Genomic DNA, 14,748 nt, shown 5'->3' with positions numbered 1-14,748 from the left:
ATGTCACCATTCCTGGTTACCTGCCCTTCACAGGCCTCTGGGAACCCTCCTCAGTTTCCCACTTCAGAGGGCAAGGTCAGTCAGTCTCTCATCTACAATTTGAGTAAGTATCACTGAACTCTTGGGCTGTTCTCTCTGGGGAAAGTGAGCATCCAGTGTGTTGTTCAACCAAGTGTTGTCCAAGTTATCAAGGAGGAAGCTCCCTTAATGGGGGCTTTCCCTGTGCTGGACACAGTGCTGGGGCTCATGGTCTCAACCAGCCATCTGTCTGGCCTATAGGTCTGCTCTCCACCCACAGAACCTGTAGGTGGCAAGATGGGCAACTTCTGAGCCACAATTAAAAGGAGCTCCTCCTTCATAAGCTTCTGTGCTCTAGCCACAGCAAAGGCTCAACCCAAAAAGGCAGAAGAGCACAGAGATTTAGCATCACCAGCTTTCATGCCAAAGTCACCTGGCCTCTCATGGCATTTCTTCTACTTAGCATCTCTGAGGCAGTGTTGCTTCGTATCTTTTGGCCTCACTTTGCTTTTCTGTAAAGTGAAAATAAGTAACACCTACTTCACAAGGACCAAATAAATTAACGTTAGCAAAATTCTGCATAGTAGGCACTTTAAACAAATGCTTGTCACAAGTATGGGCAGGGTGTTCAAATCAGCATTCGCCATTGCTACAAGCCTAGGATCCCTGAGCAGCAAGGCGGTGTCAAACCTGCAGGCATCCCCACTGGGAGTTCTGAGGTTTCTGAACAACTCTGAACTGGTCTCTCATTCTCAAACAACAGAATATCAAGGTTCAATCCCAGTGTGTTCTGATTTGAAAAATGTGTAACATGAAAGGAACTAATTAATCAAGCAAGTCAGAACAGCACCTGCAGATGTCAAAACTAACTGGGAAAAAGACTAATCAAAAGTAACATGAGGCCAGGTGCGGTGGCTCACACCTGTAATCCCAGCACTTTGGGAGGCCAAGGTGGGTGGATTACTTAAGGTCAGGAGTTAGAGACAAGCCTGGCCAACGTGGTAGAACCCCGTTTCTACTAAAAATACAAAAATTAGCTGGGCGTGGTGGCGCACGCCTGTAATCCCAGCTACTCGGGAGGCTGAGGCACGAGAATCACTTGAACCGGGGAGGCAGAGGTTGCAATGAGCTGAGATTGCACCACTGCACTCCAGCCTGGGTGACAGAGTGAGACTCTGTTTCAAAAAAATAAAAAATAAAAGTAATGTGGGAACTTCATACATGTGGCTGACGACTGAAAGGTGAAAACCTGAAAACCTGGGTTAATATTCATTACCACCACCCAGGACTTAGCATTACTCTGTACCAATGGGTCTCAAACAGGAGCAAGTTAACTCCCCAGGAAACATTTGGCAGTGTCCGGAGACATTTTTCATTGTCACAACTGACAATCAGGAATGCTACTAGCGTCTAGTAAGTAGGGGCCAGAGATGCTGCTAAACATTCTACAATGCACAGGGCAGCCCCACAACAAGAATTTTCCAGTCCAAAATGTCAAAAGCAAGGAGGTCAGTGAGCTGGGATCCACCCTTCTGTATGTGTCTGCTTCGTAGATAATGAATCAGAGGCTTCTATTTGATGATTTTCCTGAGGTTCGCACAATCAGAAAATGATGCTATCAGAGTTGAACCCTGTCCATAGCCCCAAATTCTGCACTTTGCCCTATAGTATACTGACTTCCGAGATGGAAATCGGAAGGGAGAAAGGGCAGATAAAAGAATATTTGTAAAGCCTTGATGGGATTTGTACACCAAATATAATCTAGAAAACAAAGGAGAGTGGGGCATCTGGCCCTTGGACTAGTGGAGCCACAGGAGAGACAGGACAGGGAGCTGGTTTTATGCACATTGGTCAGGTCTGAGGTATGTCCACATGGAAGCCTCATTCATGAAGCTAGACACAAGAGGCAGTATCCAGAGAGAAAACCAAGGGCTAGAGGTAGAGAGTGGAGGTCTTTCAGCGCTGTGAGAGCTGAATGCAAGACAATGGGTAAAGCCCCAGGGCTGGGTCACTTTACAAGAGGAGGAAATGAAAAGGAGAAAGTAAGACACACACAAAAAGCTAAGGTGAAACCAGGAGGTGGAGGAGCCCCCAAGGCAGAAAAGTTCCCTCATGGGCCCTAGAAGAACAGCAGAGAGCAGAGACAAGGGGAGACTTTGGGGCTTGCTGATTAGGTGGGTGGGGATAAAGTGAGGGCCAATTTCAAGGAGGCTAGGCTGCCAGTCTGGAAGCAAGGGAGCACGTGGCCTGCTTGCCCAGCATGGATGCTGGGGCCTGGGGTAGAGGCCTGGATCTTAACCCCCACCCTCTCGCCCAGCTCCTGGGTTTCTGCAGCTGTGCTCACTGCAGCTGTGGAGCTGTGTTGTTTCCTGGGTGGACTGGTTTCTGGCAGCCCTAGCAACGGCTGCCTCTTCATACCCTATCTACCTTCTGTTCTCAGGAGCAGCACGAAGAGGACCCCTGGGCTTCCTACTCTCCAAAAAATGTAGCCCACCCCTGGCCTTCAGAAGGAGGCAGACAAGCAGGCTTCGTTCAGGCAAAGACCTGCAAACAAGGCCTGCTTTCAGGGCTGCCTGCTGGCATCTGTGTTCTGTGGGCTCTTCAGTGGAAAGAGCAGGGCACTCAAAGACAAATGAGAAAGGGCATTATCCCTAAGGGGTCCCCAGGTTTGGGCTGGGGTGCAGGACCCTGTGGTCACTAGATGGTGATGCCTGAATTTTGATTCTGAATTCTCAAAGGAAGCTGGGAAAATGATGCGAGATCAAGTTAGCTGAAGAGCGTTTGGCTCAGATCACACATTTTAAATATGCAAATTTCCTCCTTCTCCTCTCCCCTGAAGGTCCACTGTCCTTCCTGAAGATAAGCAGAAAGTCCTGGAAGTTTAAAGAACTATAAAAAGGATCTCGCCAGGTCTTAACAGTTCAGTGGGGGGATAAGTGAAACCAATCAGTTTGCTATGAAAATTGGTCAAGTAATTTATCTTAATTACCATGTAATTGCTTTTAGTGTTTTGAGAGGAGACAAGTAACTAAATGGCCCAGAAAGGATATTTAATACCCTAAAACGTAATTCCTTCCCACACACAAAACAAGCTGCATTCAGATTGGAATGGCCTATATGAGAAGTGAAGGACCACCATCTACAGAGAGTCACCCAGGATCTCTACCATTGGATGCTGGGCCTTGGGGAAATGTTGGCCAAAGGTTCTGGTACAAATTCTTGTATCACACATCCCCTGCTTATTCATTCAGCAAAGACCACATCCCCTAAGTGCTGGGTTCTGAGTTAAGCACCATGGAAACTGCAGAGGTCTGATTCCCTGGTGGTATGGTAGGAAAAGGGCTTAGAAGTTAGAGAGATTTGTGTTTCAATCCCAGCCCTGCCACTGCCTAGCAGTGACATGGAGCAAGTTACTTCAATTCCCTGAGCCTCTGTCTTCTCAGGTGTGAAACAAGGATAACATTAGTTACGTTTATGCTCTGGATGTTTATGTCTCCCAAAATTCATATGCTGAAACTTAATCCCCAATGTGACAGTAACAAGAGGTGGGCCCTTTGGGAGGTGATTAGGTCATAAGGGCTCTGACCTTATGAACAGAATTAGTGTCTTTATCAAAGAGGCCCCAGAGAGCTTGTTTGTCCCTTCCGCCATCTGAGAACACATAGAAGGTGCCATCTGTGAGGAACAGGACCTCAGCAGACATCAAGTCCACTGGAGCCTTGATATTGGACTTCCCAGCCTCCAGAACTGTGAGCAAGACATTTCTCTTCTTATAAGCTACTCAATCTAAGCTATTTTTTGTTATAGCAAGCTCAAGGGAGTAAGACAGTTATGTTAAATGATTCTTGCACATACTAAATAAAGTAACATCTGTAAAATGCCAGGTACATGGGGGAGATGTTAAATAGAAGCTCTTGTTACTACAGGTTGAATATCCCTTATCTAAAACGCTTGGGACCAGAAGTGTTTCAGATTTCAGATGTTTTCAGATTTTGAAATATTTGTATTATACTTACCAGCTCAGCATCCCTAATCTGAAAATCCAAAATCTGAAATGCTCCAATGAGTATTTCCTTTCAGCCTCAGGTCAGCATTCGAAAAGGTCCTAACTTTCGAGATTTCAGATTTTGGATTAGGGACACTCAACCTGTATAGATGCCTGCTCCTAAGGCTTTTATAACCTTGTAGGAAAGGCCAGAGAAAACAACAAATGAAAGATAAAATGTGCTCATCCTTCTCTGCTAAAGTGCACTGGGAGGTTAGGAATGAGCAGTATCAAATGCAGCCCTGGCTCAGGAGCAAGGAAGGCTTCATGGGGAAGGGACATCTGCTTGAGTAAAGACATAGGGCAGCAAACAAGCCCTTTGCCACTATACCCTCTGCTCATGTTTCTGTTGATTTGAGTTATGTGCCAGTTAACGCCAGTGTAAAAGAATTTCTCCCACCTGGCTTTATTCACCCCAGTAAGCAGATACAAAATCCAATTACACACACTGTGATCATAGCTATGGCAGATCTCTTCTCTGGCTGCCTAAACTGGGCCACAAGCCACTGAGCAGAGATTAGCAGTATTGTGTGTGTGCCACAAAATCAAATGCATATTGGTTTGTCCATGGCCAGTCCTAGGCTGTTGCTGACCATCATGCTCACCTGGAAATGTCCACATCACTGTGGACACAGGCAAGTACTGCTGAATTACAGATAACATAACAACAGCATGTTTGCTTCTATTCCTCTCTACTTCCACGGAATTCCATTGATATATATGTGTATAAATACGTAACAACTTGAACAATACTCAAAATAGAGAAAGATTTTTTTCTTTCTCTATTTTGAGACAGACAGAGTTTCGCTCTTCGCCCAGGCTAGAAGTGCAATGGTGCGATCTTGGCTCACTGCCGCCTCTGCCTCCCGGGTTCAAGCGATTCTTCTGCCTCAGCCTGCCGAGTAGCTGGGATTACAGGCATGTGCCACCAAGCCCAGCTAATTTTTGTATTTTTGGTAGAGATGGGGTTTCTCCATATTGGTCATGCTGGTCTCGAACTCCCGACCTCAGGTGATCCACCCACCTCAGCCTCCCAAAGTGCTGGGATTACAGGCATGAGCCACCGCACCTGACAGATTTTTAAAATTCTTTATTAAGGTCCTATATACAAAGCAGTTATAAAAGATTGGCATTAACTTTAGTAATGTCTTAGTCTCAAAAGCAAACTTCAGCACACAAAAAATAATATTTAAGTCTCCAAGTCTATGGGGAGTGCTTGCAAAATACTTGTGAACTTTATTGAATTTCAAAGACTACCAAAGGCTTTAACAAAAAATTTTGCACTTAGCCCCTAACCGCGAGTGATCCGCCAACCTCGGCCTCCCGAGGTGCCGGGATTGCAGACGGAGTCTCGTTCACTCAGTGCTCAATGGTGCCCAGGCTGGAGTGCAGTGGCGTGATCTCGGCTCACTACAACCTACACCTCCCAGCCGCCTGCCTTGGCCTCCCAAAGTGCCGAGATTGCAGCCTCTGCCCGGCCGCCACCCCGTCTGGGAAGTGAGGAGTGTCTCTGCCTGGCCGCCCATCGTCTGGGATGTGAGGAGCCCCTCTGCCTGGCTGCCCAGTCTGGAAAGTGAGGAGCGTCTCTGCCCGGCCGCCATCACATCTAGGAAGTGAGGAGCCTCTCTGCTCGGCCGCCCATCGTCTGAGATGTGGGGAGCGCCTCTGCCCCGCCGCCCCATCTGGGATGTGAGGAGCGCCTCTGCCCGGCCGAGACCCCGTCTGGGAGGTGAGGAGCGTCTCTGCCCGGCCGCCCCGTCTGAGAAGTGAGGAGACCCTCTGCCTGGCAACCACCCCGTCTGAGAAGTGAGGAGCCCCTCCGCCCGGCAGCTGCCCCGTCTGAGAAGTGAGGAGCGTCTCCGCCCGGCAGCCACCCCATCTGGGAAGTGAGGAGCGTCTCCGCCCGGCAGCCACCCCGTCCGGGAGGGAGGTGGGGGGGGGTCAGCCCCCCGCCCGGCCAGCCGCCCCATCCGGGAGGGAGGTGGGGGGTCAGCCCCCCCGCCCGGGCAGCCGTGCCGTCCAGGAGGGAGGTGGGGGGGTCAGCCCCCCGCCCGGCCAGCCGCCCCGTCCGGGAGGTGAGGGGCGCCTCTGCCCGGCCGCCCCTACTGGGAAGTGAGGAGCCCCTCAGCCCGGCCAGCCACCCCGTCCGGGAGGGAGATGGGGGGGTCAGCCCCCCCACCCGGCCAGCCGCCCCGTCCGGGAGGGAGGTGGGGGGTCAGCCCCCCCGCCCGGGCAGCCGTGCCGTCCAGGAGGGAGGTGGGGGGGTCAGCCCCCCGCCCGGCCAGCCGCCCCGTCCGGGAGGTGAGGGGCGCCTCTGCCCGGCCGCCCCTACTGGGAAGTGAGGAGCCCCTCAGCCCGGCCAGCCACCCCGTCCGGGAGGGAGATGGGGGGGTCAGCCCCCCCACCCGGCCAGCCGCCCCGTCTGGGAGGGAGGTGGGGGGGTCAGCCCCCCGCCTGGCCAGCCGCCCCGTCCGGGAGGGAGGTGGGGGGGTCAGCGCCCCGCCCGGCCAGCCGCCCCGTCTGGGAGGTGAGGGGCGCCTCTGCCCGGCCGCCCCTACTGGGAAGTGAGGAGCCCCTCTGCCCGGCCAGCCGCCCCATCCGGGAGGGAGGTGGGGGGGTCAGCCCCCCGCCCGGCCAGCCGCCCTGTCCGGGAGGGAGGTGGGGGGGTCAGCCCTCCGCCCGGCCAGCCGCCCCGTCTGGGAGTTGAGGGGCGCCTCTGCCCGGCCGCCCCTACTGGGAAGTGAGGAGCCCCTCTGCCCGGCCAGCCGCCCCGTCCGGGAGGGAGGTGGGGGGGTCAGCCCCCCGCCTGGCCAGCCGCCCCGTCCAGGAGGGAGGTGGGGGGGTCAGCGCCCCGCCCGGCCAGCCACCCCGTCCGGGAGGGAGATGGGGGGGTCAGCCCCCCCACCCGGCCAGCCGCCCCGTCCGGGAGGGAGGTGGGGGGGTCAGCCCCCCGCCTGGCCAGCCGCCCCGTCCGGGAGGGAGGTGGGGGGGTCAGCGCCCCGCCCGGCCAGCCACCCCGTCCGGGAGGGAGATGGGGGGGTCAGCCCCCCCACCCGGCCAGCCGCCCCGTCCGGGAGGGAGGTGGGGGGGTCAGCCCCCCGCCTGGCCAGCCGCCCCGTCCGGGAGGGAGGTGGGGGGGTCAGCGCCCCGCCCGGCCAGCCACCCCGTCCGGGAGGGAGATGGGGGGGTCAGCCCCCCCACCCGGCCAGCCGCCCCGTCCGGGAGGGAGGTGGGGGGGTCAGCCCTCCGCCCGGCCAGCCGCCCCGTCTGGGAGTTGAGGGGCGCCTCTGCCCGGCCGCCCCTACTGGGAAGTGAGGAGCCCCTCTGCCCGGCCAGCCGCCCCGTCCGGGAGGGAGGTGGGGGGGTCGGCCCCCCGCCCGGCCAGCCGCCCCATCCGGGAGGGAGGTGGGGGGGTCAGCCCCCCGCCCGGCCAGCCGCCCTGTCCAGGAGGGAGGTGGGGGTGTCAGCCCCACGCCCGGCCAGCCGCCTCGTCCGTGAGGGAGGTGGGGGGGTCAGCCCCCCACCCGGCCAGCCGCCCCGTCCGGGAGGGAGGTGGGGGGGGTCAGCCCCCCTGCCCGGCCAGTGGCCCCGTCCGGTAGGTGAGGGGCGCCTCTGCCCGGCCGCCCCTACTGGGAAGTGAGGAGCCCCTCTGCCCGGCCAGCCGCCCCATCCGGGAGGGAGGTGGGGGGGGTCAGCCCCCCCCGCCCGGCCAGCCGCCCCGTCCGGGAGGTGAGGGGCGCCTCTGCCCAGCCACCTCCCCGTCTGGGAGGTGTGCCCAACAGCTCATTGAGAACGGGCCAGGATGACAATGGCGGCTTTGTGGAATAGAAAGGCGGGAAAGGCGGGGAAAAGATTGAGAAATCGGATGGTTGCAGTGTCTGTGTAGAAAGAAGTAGACATGGGAGACTTTTCATTTTGTTCTGCACTAAGAAAAATTCCTCTGTCTTGGGATCCTGTTGATCTGTGACCTTACCCCCAACCCTGTGCTCTCTGAAACATGTGCTGTGTCCACTCAGGGTTAAATGGATTAAGGGCGGTGCAAGATGTGCTTTGTTAAACAGATGCTTGAAGGCAGCATGCTCGTTAAGAGTCATCACCAATCCCTAATCTCAAGTAATCAGGGACACAAACACTGCGGAAGGCCGCAGGGTCCTCTGCCTAGGAAAACCAGAGACCTTTGTTCACTTGTTTATCTGCTGACCTTCCCTCCACTATTGTCCCATGACCCTGCCAAATCCCCCTCTGTGAGAAACACCCAAGAATTATCAATAAAAAAATAAATAAATAAATAAAAAAAAAAAAAAAAAATTTTGCACTTAAAGTTTGAGTAGAAACGCATACGTGGGAGCCAATGACTGGATGTGCCAACTGACATTTTCGACCTTAGCCTATATGTAAATTTACAGATCTCTAAGTCTCAACCTTGGGTGCTTGAGCCCCTGGCAGGCTAACCTCTTTCCTCCCAACTCTGAGTCCAATTTAAAGAAGCAAAAGGCCGGGCGCAATGGCTCACGCCTGTAATCCTAGCACTTTGGGAGGCCGAGGCAGGCAGATCACCTGAGGTCAGGAGTTCGAAACTAGCCTGGCCAACGTGGTAAAACCCCGTCTCTATTAAAAATACAAAAAATTAGCTGGGCATGGTGGTGCACGCCTGTAATCCCAGCTAGTTGGGAGGCTGAGGCAGGAGAACTGCTTGAACCAGGGAGGTGGAGGTTGCAGTGAGCCGAGATTGTGTCATTGCCCTCCAGCTCGGGCGACAAAGAGAGACTCTGTCTCAAAAACAAATAAACAAATAAATAAAATAAAATAAAGGAGTAACACCCAGCCTCCTCAGGAAGCCCAAGTCATCTCAGGTGCCTCTGCACAGCCCAGCTCAGCAAGGCACACTAGCTCCCAACAGATGCAGCCCAGCACAACCAGGAGCTCACACCACCTCTAAGGTGATGGATGGTCTCCACTGGACACCACCCAGGGTTCTGCTCTCTCCCCACACCCATCTCTCCAACAGACTTTGTATTCCTGCTCACAGCACACAGAAGTCCTTTGGGTGAAGTCCCCACAGCTATTTGCCTGGCCTGGGAACCATGAAGCCAGTATTTAGGTTTTCTTCTAACTCTGCTTCTCTCTGCCTTTGTAAGTTTGAACAAGTCACTGCTATCAAGCAGTTTCCAAGGTCCCTTCAAACTCAAACAATCTACGAGGATCAATTCTCCTAAGAAGGGGTCTAAGGCCAGTCATGGTATCTCACGCCTGTAATCCCAGCACTTTGGAAGGCCGAGGCAGGTGCATCACTTGAGATCAGGAGTTCAAGACCAGCCTGGCCAACATGATAAAACTGTGTCTCTACTAAAAATAAAAAAATTAGCCAGGCATGGTGGCATGTGCCTGTAATCCCAGCTACTTGGGAGGCTGAGGCAGGAGAATCGCTTGAACCCGGGAGGCAGAGGTTGCAGTGAGCCGAGACCATGCCATTGCACTCTGGCCTGGGAAACAAGAGCAAAACTCCACCTCAAAAAAAGGAAAGAGGAAAGGACAGGACAGGACAGGAAAAAAACAAAACAAAACAAACGAGAGAGAGAGAGAAAGGGAGGAGGAAGAGCGGAGGGGAGGGGATGGGACGGGATGGGAAGGGAAGGGAAGGGAAGGGAAGAGAAGGGAAGGGAAGGGTCTACAGAGAGGTATTTGCCCCCTGAAGCTGCCTTTCTGTCTAAACTCTTGAGCCTTCAGGCCGGAGGTTTTCCAAGGCACAGCAACAATATCTTTCATACCCTGCTCTTCTGAAATGTCATCTTGCCCCTCTTCCATCAAGAGGAAGACTCTGTTTCCCCTCCTCTTGGATCTGGTGGGCGCTGTCACTGCTCTGACCATACAATGTAGCAAACATGATGTTGTGACAATTCTAGTCATACCCCTGAAATGACCCAGAAGCTTCCGTTTCTGACTTGTCAGAGTCTGAGATGCCATGTAAGAAGCCCAGCTACTTTGCTGGATAGAGAAGCCACATGGAGCAGCCACTCCAAGGCACCACCTTGGATGTCCATTTGCCATCAGGCTGCAACTACATGAGAAACCTCAAGCAAGAACCACTCAGCTGAGCCCAGTCAACCCATAGAACCAGAAGAGAAAATATTAAATTGTGATTTTCAACCTCTACATGTTTTCTGTGATAAAACATACATAAAATCTACCCTTTTAACCATTTGTAAGTGTACACTTTTATTTAGTTATTATTATTATTTGTTTTTTGAGATGGAGTCTCACTCTGTTGCCCAGGCTGGAGTGCAGTGGTGCCATCTTAGCTCACTGCAACCTCTGCCTCCTGGGTTCAAGCGATTCACCTGCCTTGGCATCCTGAGTAGCTGGGATTACAGGCGCCTGCCACCATACCCTGCTAAATTTTTTTTTTTGTATTTTTAGTAGAGACGGGCTCTCACCATGTTGGCAAGGCTGGTCCCGAACTCCTGACCCCAGGAGACCTGCCCACCTCGGCCTCCCAAAGTGCTGGGATTACAGGCATGAGCCACCACACCCGGCCTGTAAGTGTACACTTTAGTGGCATTAAATACATTCACATTGTTGTGTAACCATCACCACTATCCACCTCTAAAACTTTTTCATCTTTCCAAACTAAAACTCTGCACCCATAAAACACTTAGTCCTCATTCATCTTCTCTCCAGCCCCTGCAACCACCACTCTACCTTCTGTCTTCATGAATTTGTCTACTCTAAGTACCTCATATAAATGGAATCATACAGTATGTGTCCTCTTGTGTCTGGCTTATTTCACATAGCATTATGTCTTCAAGGCCCATCCATACAGAAGCTTACATCAATATTTCATTCCTTTTTAAGGCTGAATAATATTCCATTGCATGGACATGCCCCATTTTGTTTATCCATTCATCTGCTGATGAAAACCTCAACATTTTGGAGTAGCTGCTCTGCAGCAACAGATCACTGGAGCAGCAGGCAATGCAGCCATGGAAAGCAGAGCTGGGTTCCCACGGCAGATGTCAGGACCTGGAGAGTCCACCCAAAACACAGGACACCAGGAACTAACCCTCAGAGTAGGTGAAGTTGGTGACTGACCAGGAATCCGGGTTGGAGCTCCCAACATCACTTGTCACAGTGGGCTGGGTGTCTCCTCAGGTCTCTAGGCTGGGAGCAACTCCAGCACAGGGGATGATAGGATCTTATTCATGCCTGGGTTCTCTGCCCTGGCATAGGCTGAGGGCCTGGAGTCCAATCAATGTTTGGTAAATGTACCTGACACTTCAGCCAGGTTCTGACTCATCCCAGAGTTTTTTACATGCTCCTTGCAAGGCAAGAGCCATGCCAAGGAAAATGCGGGAGACTAACTGCTTCTGGCTGGGAAAGAAAGGGAGAGGAAGCAGCAAAAGGACATTCTGTCAGAGAAAAATTCACTTCCAGACAGCTCAGGATCTCCATCAAAGCGCCCCGTCCCCAGAATCAGGCAGGTAGCCACAGCTGGCAGAGACTTTACCATCTGAAGGTTAGGAAGGTATCTAGGGCATCAAGCTGAGCCAACAAGACAAGGCCAGGGGCAGGGGCAGGGTCAGAGGGGCTTGGCCCTTGGTCATGGCACAGGCCATGGAAAGTAGGGAAGGGAACTTGAACTATGAGCTCAATTGCATACCCCAGCCCTGGAAGCATTGGGGCATGACCTTCCTTCACTGCAGGAGGACTCAGATTTGTTGCACTATGTCCCCAAGCCTCTCACCCATAACAAATTTACCCAGGAAACACCCATCTATAGTCCAACCCATTCTCCCTGTTGCGATGTTCCACTTGGCCACATAACTAGGGTGCCTGACACAAGTCAGGACACACCAGAGCATAGATGTTAATTCCAGGTTTAAGAAGAAGTTGTTCTTGATTGGCTTAGAGTGAATGCCACCCAGGTAACAAACCTGCAAATGTACCCCCCTAGATCTAAAATGATCTAAAAGTTGAAAAAATAATAATAATAATAATAAATACAGAAACCAGTAAAAGAAAGAAAAAATAGTTACAAAAAATTTTTTTTAAGTAAAAAGAAAAGAAAAAGAGTGAATGCCAACCATACAATTGCTCACTTAGAGGTTGAACAAAAAGGACTCAAGTTGAATTTCAGTTATGTGTTTAGGTTTTCCAGTCCCTAAAGATAAAGTAATGCCTTGAGCAATAACTCTGAAGGTGTTTTCCTCTATTTTCTTCCAGGCATACACCTTGAAATTTAGGAACTGCTTAACATGTGGAAAGCAGCTATAAACATCAGTGAAAGAATTCAGAAGACAGGAACTTTGGACTTTGAGCTAACCAGTTATCATCCTTGAGCCTCAGTTTCCTAATTCATAAAATAGAGAATAATATTACATATTCCCATGGTTTGGTTATGTGCATTAAAAAGAGTAAATATATAAGATACATATATATATATAATATATATATACACACACATATATATCCTCATAAGAAACACTATAAATATGTGGGGTTTTTGTCTTTTTTTTTTTTTGAGATAGAGTTTCACTCTTGTTGCCCAGGCTGGAGTGCAATGGTGCAATCTCAGCTGACTACAACCTCTGCCTCCTAGGTTCAAGCAATTCTCCTGCCTCAGGCTCCCAAGTAGCTGGGATTACAGGCACGCACCACCATGCCCAGCTAATTTTTTGTATTTAGCAGAGAGAGGGTTTCACCATGTTGATCAGGCTGGTCTCAAACTCCTGACCTCAGGTGATCCACTCCCCTCAGCCTCTCAAAGTGCTGGGAATACAAGCATGAGCCACCGCGCCCAGTATATAAATATGCTTAAGATATATTTATATTCACTGAGTACTTGTTGATAGCTGCTGAATAAATGACTGAATAACCTAAGATTCTGACAAGACTCCCATGTGGTGAGAGCAAGTCTTGCTCCACACTTCAGAATCCTCAACTAGAGCATCTACTAGATCCCAGAAGTCACCTCACTGCCCAGGGGGCCACTGCCCTGCTGTCCCATGTCTTAACAACTGGTTTCCCAAGCCAGTACTCTTCCCTCCTGTCTGGACTTATATTCTCCCAAACTGCTCAGCTGGAGCTGGCCTGATGTTGAGGACAAGAGTCGGTCCCACCACCCCACCCACCCCCAGCCAGGTTCCTACCTCCAAACCTGGACCTAGGCTGCTTTTTCTTTTCTCTTTTTTTTTTTTTTTTTTTTTTTGAGATGGAGTCACTCTGTCGTCCGGGCTGGAGTGCAGTGACACAATCTTGGCTTGCTGCAACCTCTGTCCCCCTGAGTTCAAGCCATTCTCCTGCCTCAGCTTCCCAAGTAGCTGGGATTACAGGAGCCCATCACCACACCCGGGTAATTTTTGTATTTTTAGTAGAGAAGGGGTTTCACCATGTTGGTCAGGCTGGTATTGAACTCCTGACCTCAGGTGATCCACCCTTCTTGGCCTCCCAAAGTGCTGGGATTACAGGCGTGAGCCACCGCGCCCGGCCTAGGATGCTTCTTGAACCACTGACAAACCAGAACCCTAGGTCTGTCCTCAGGGCACCCACATCTTTGATACCAGATGGAAACAACTCATTCATTCCCTTTCCCTGGTTTTCTGAAGCATAGTTCCATGGAAGGTTTGTGGACCAGCAACCTCCTCTACCCACCCCAGGCCTGGACTCCATCCTTGACCTTTACTTACAAAAGGAGGCTCCTGCGGGTTCTTCTACCTTAAGGTGCTTCAGGGAGCATCATATAAGGCAATGGACTTGAAAGTTTCTTTGAAAAATAGGAAGCACTTGATAAATTCTTCTGCTCTTGTTACTCTTTTTAGTTTACTTTAGTGTGGTCTTACTGAGTCTATGGAGGCCTGGGATTGTTTCCCGGATAAATTCTTTTGGTACAATGACCACACAGAGGGAAAACAGCTTGCTGTTCTTTGTGACTCCAGTGCTATTAGCAAATGCACTGTGATCTCCAAGACAGAGGCGGTGAGGGAAATCAAGAAATGTGGGTTCCGGGCTCATTGACTCTGCCAGTAAATTAAGCAAGTCACTAACTTCTCTGGGCATTTTTCTTCATGTGCACAAAGGAGCTTAGAAGCCGCCCACATTCCTATTCACTCGGATACCAAGAGGGCCAAGAGTTTGAAAAGAAAAACACTGTGCAGTAAAAATGTTGTAGTATTCAGTGGGCATGGAGGGTTTAGAAGGAAGAGATAAAAAAGAAAAATGAGGCCGGGCATGGTGGCTCACGCCTGTAATCCCAGCACTTTGGGAGGGTGAGGCAGGCAGATCACCTGAGGTCAGTAGTTCAAGACCAGCCTGGGCAACATGGTGAAACCCCCACATCTACTAAAAATGCAAAAATTAGGCAGGCATGCTGGTGCACGCCTGTAATCCCAGTTACTCTGGAGACTGGGGCTTGAGAATCACTTGAACTCGGGAGGTGGAGGCTTCAGTGAGCCGAGATCACGCCACTGCACTCCAGCCTGGGCAACAGAGGGAGACCTGTCTCAAGAAAAAAAAGAAAAAAAAAAAGAAAAATGAAAGAAGAAAGGAAACAAAAGACAGAGAAAGCAAGCATTTGGCATAAAGTATGAGGCTCTTGAGAAAGCAAGAATGGAATGCCATGGAAGTTCCCAGTACAGAGCCTCAGAGTCACTGTCTAGATTACATTTACCCCAGGGTCCCCAGCAGACAAA

The 14,748-nt window shown here is 51.4% G+C and overlaps 2 protein-coding genes across 3 annotated transcripts in view, besides 1 other annotated feature; both read right to left on the bottom strand.

Moving 5' to 3' along the window:
* The window catches only part of STON1-GTF2A1L (STON1-GTF2A1L readthrough), a 246,595-nt gene that overhangs the window by 213,441 nt on the left and 18,406 nt on the right, over positions 1 to 14,748 (bottom strand). The gene's annotated exons all lie outside the window — the stretch shown is intronic.
* STON1 (stonin 1) overlaps positions 1 to 14,748 on the bottom strand; it is a 68,360-nt gene that overhangs the window by 35,435 nt on the left and 18,177 nt on the right. The gene's annotated exons all lie outside the window — the stretch shown is intronic.
* Positions 2,297 to 2,835: an enhancer, noted in NCBI's record as "H3K4me1 hESC enhancer chr2:48787383-48787921 (GRCh37/hg19 assembly coordinates)". NCBI's record gives its function as "activates a minimal SCP1, AML or CMV promoter by ChIP-STARR-seq in naive H9 embryonic stem cells {active_cell/tissue: H9 hESC(naive)}" and the evidence as "EXISTENCE:reporter gene assay evidence [ECO:0000049][PMID:30033119]".

The sequence above is a fragment of the Homo sapiens genome, chromosome 2 (assembly GCF_000001405.40).
Source record: "Homo sapiens chromosome 2, GRCh38.p14 Primary Assembly".
In the NCBI taxonomy this organism is placed as follows: Eukaryota; Metazoa; Chordata; class Mammalia; order Primates; family Hominidae; genus Homo; species Homo sapiens.
Note: the sequence above shows the minus strand (reverse complement) of the source record. Positions and strands in the feature narration are given on the sequence as shown.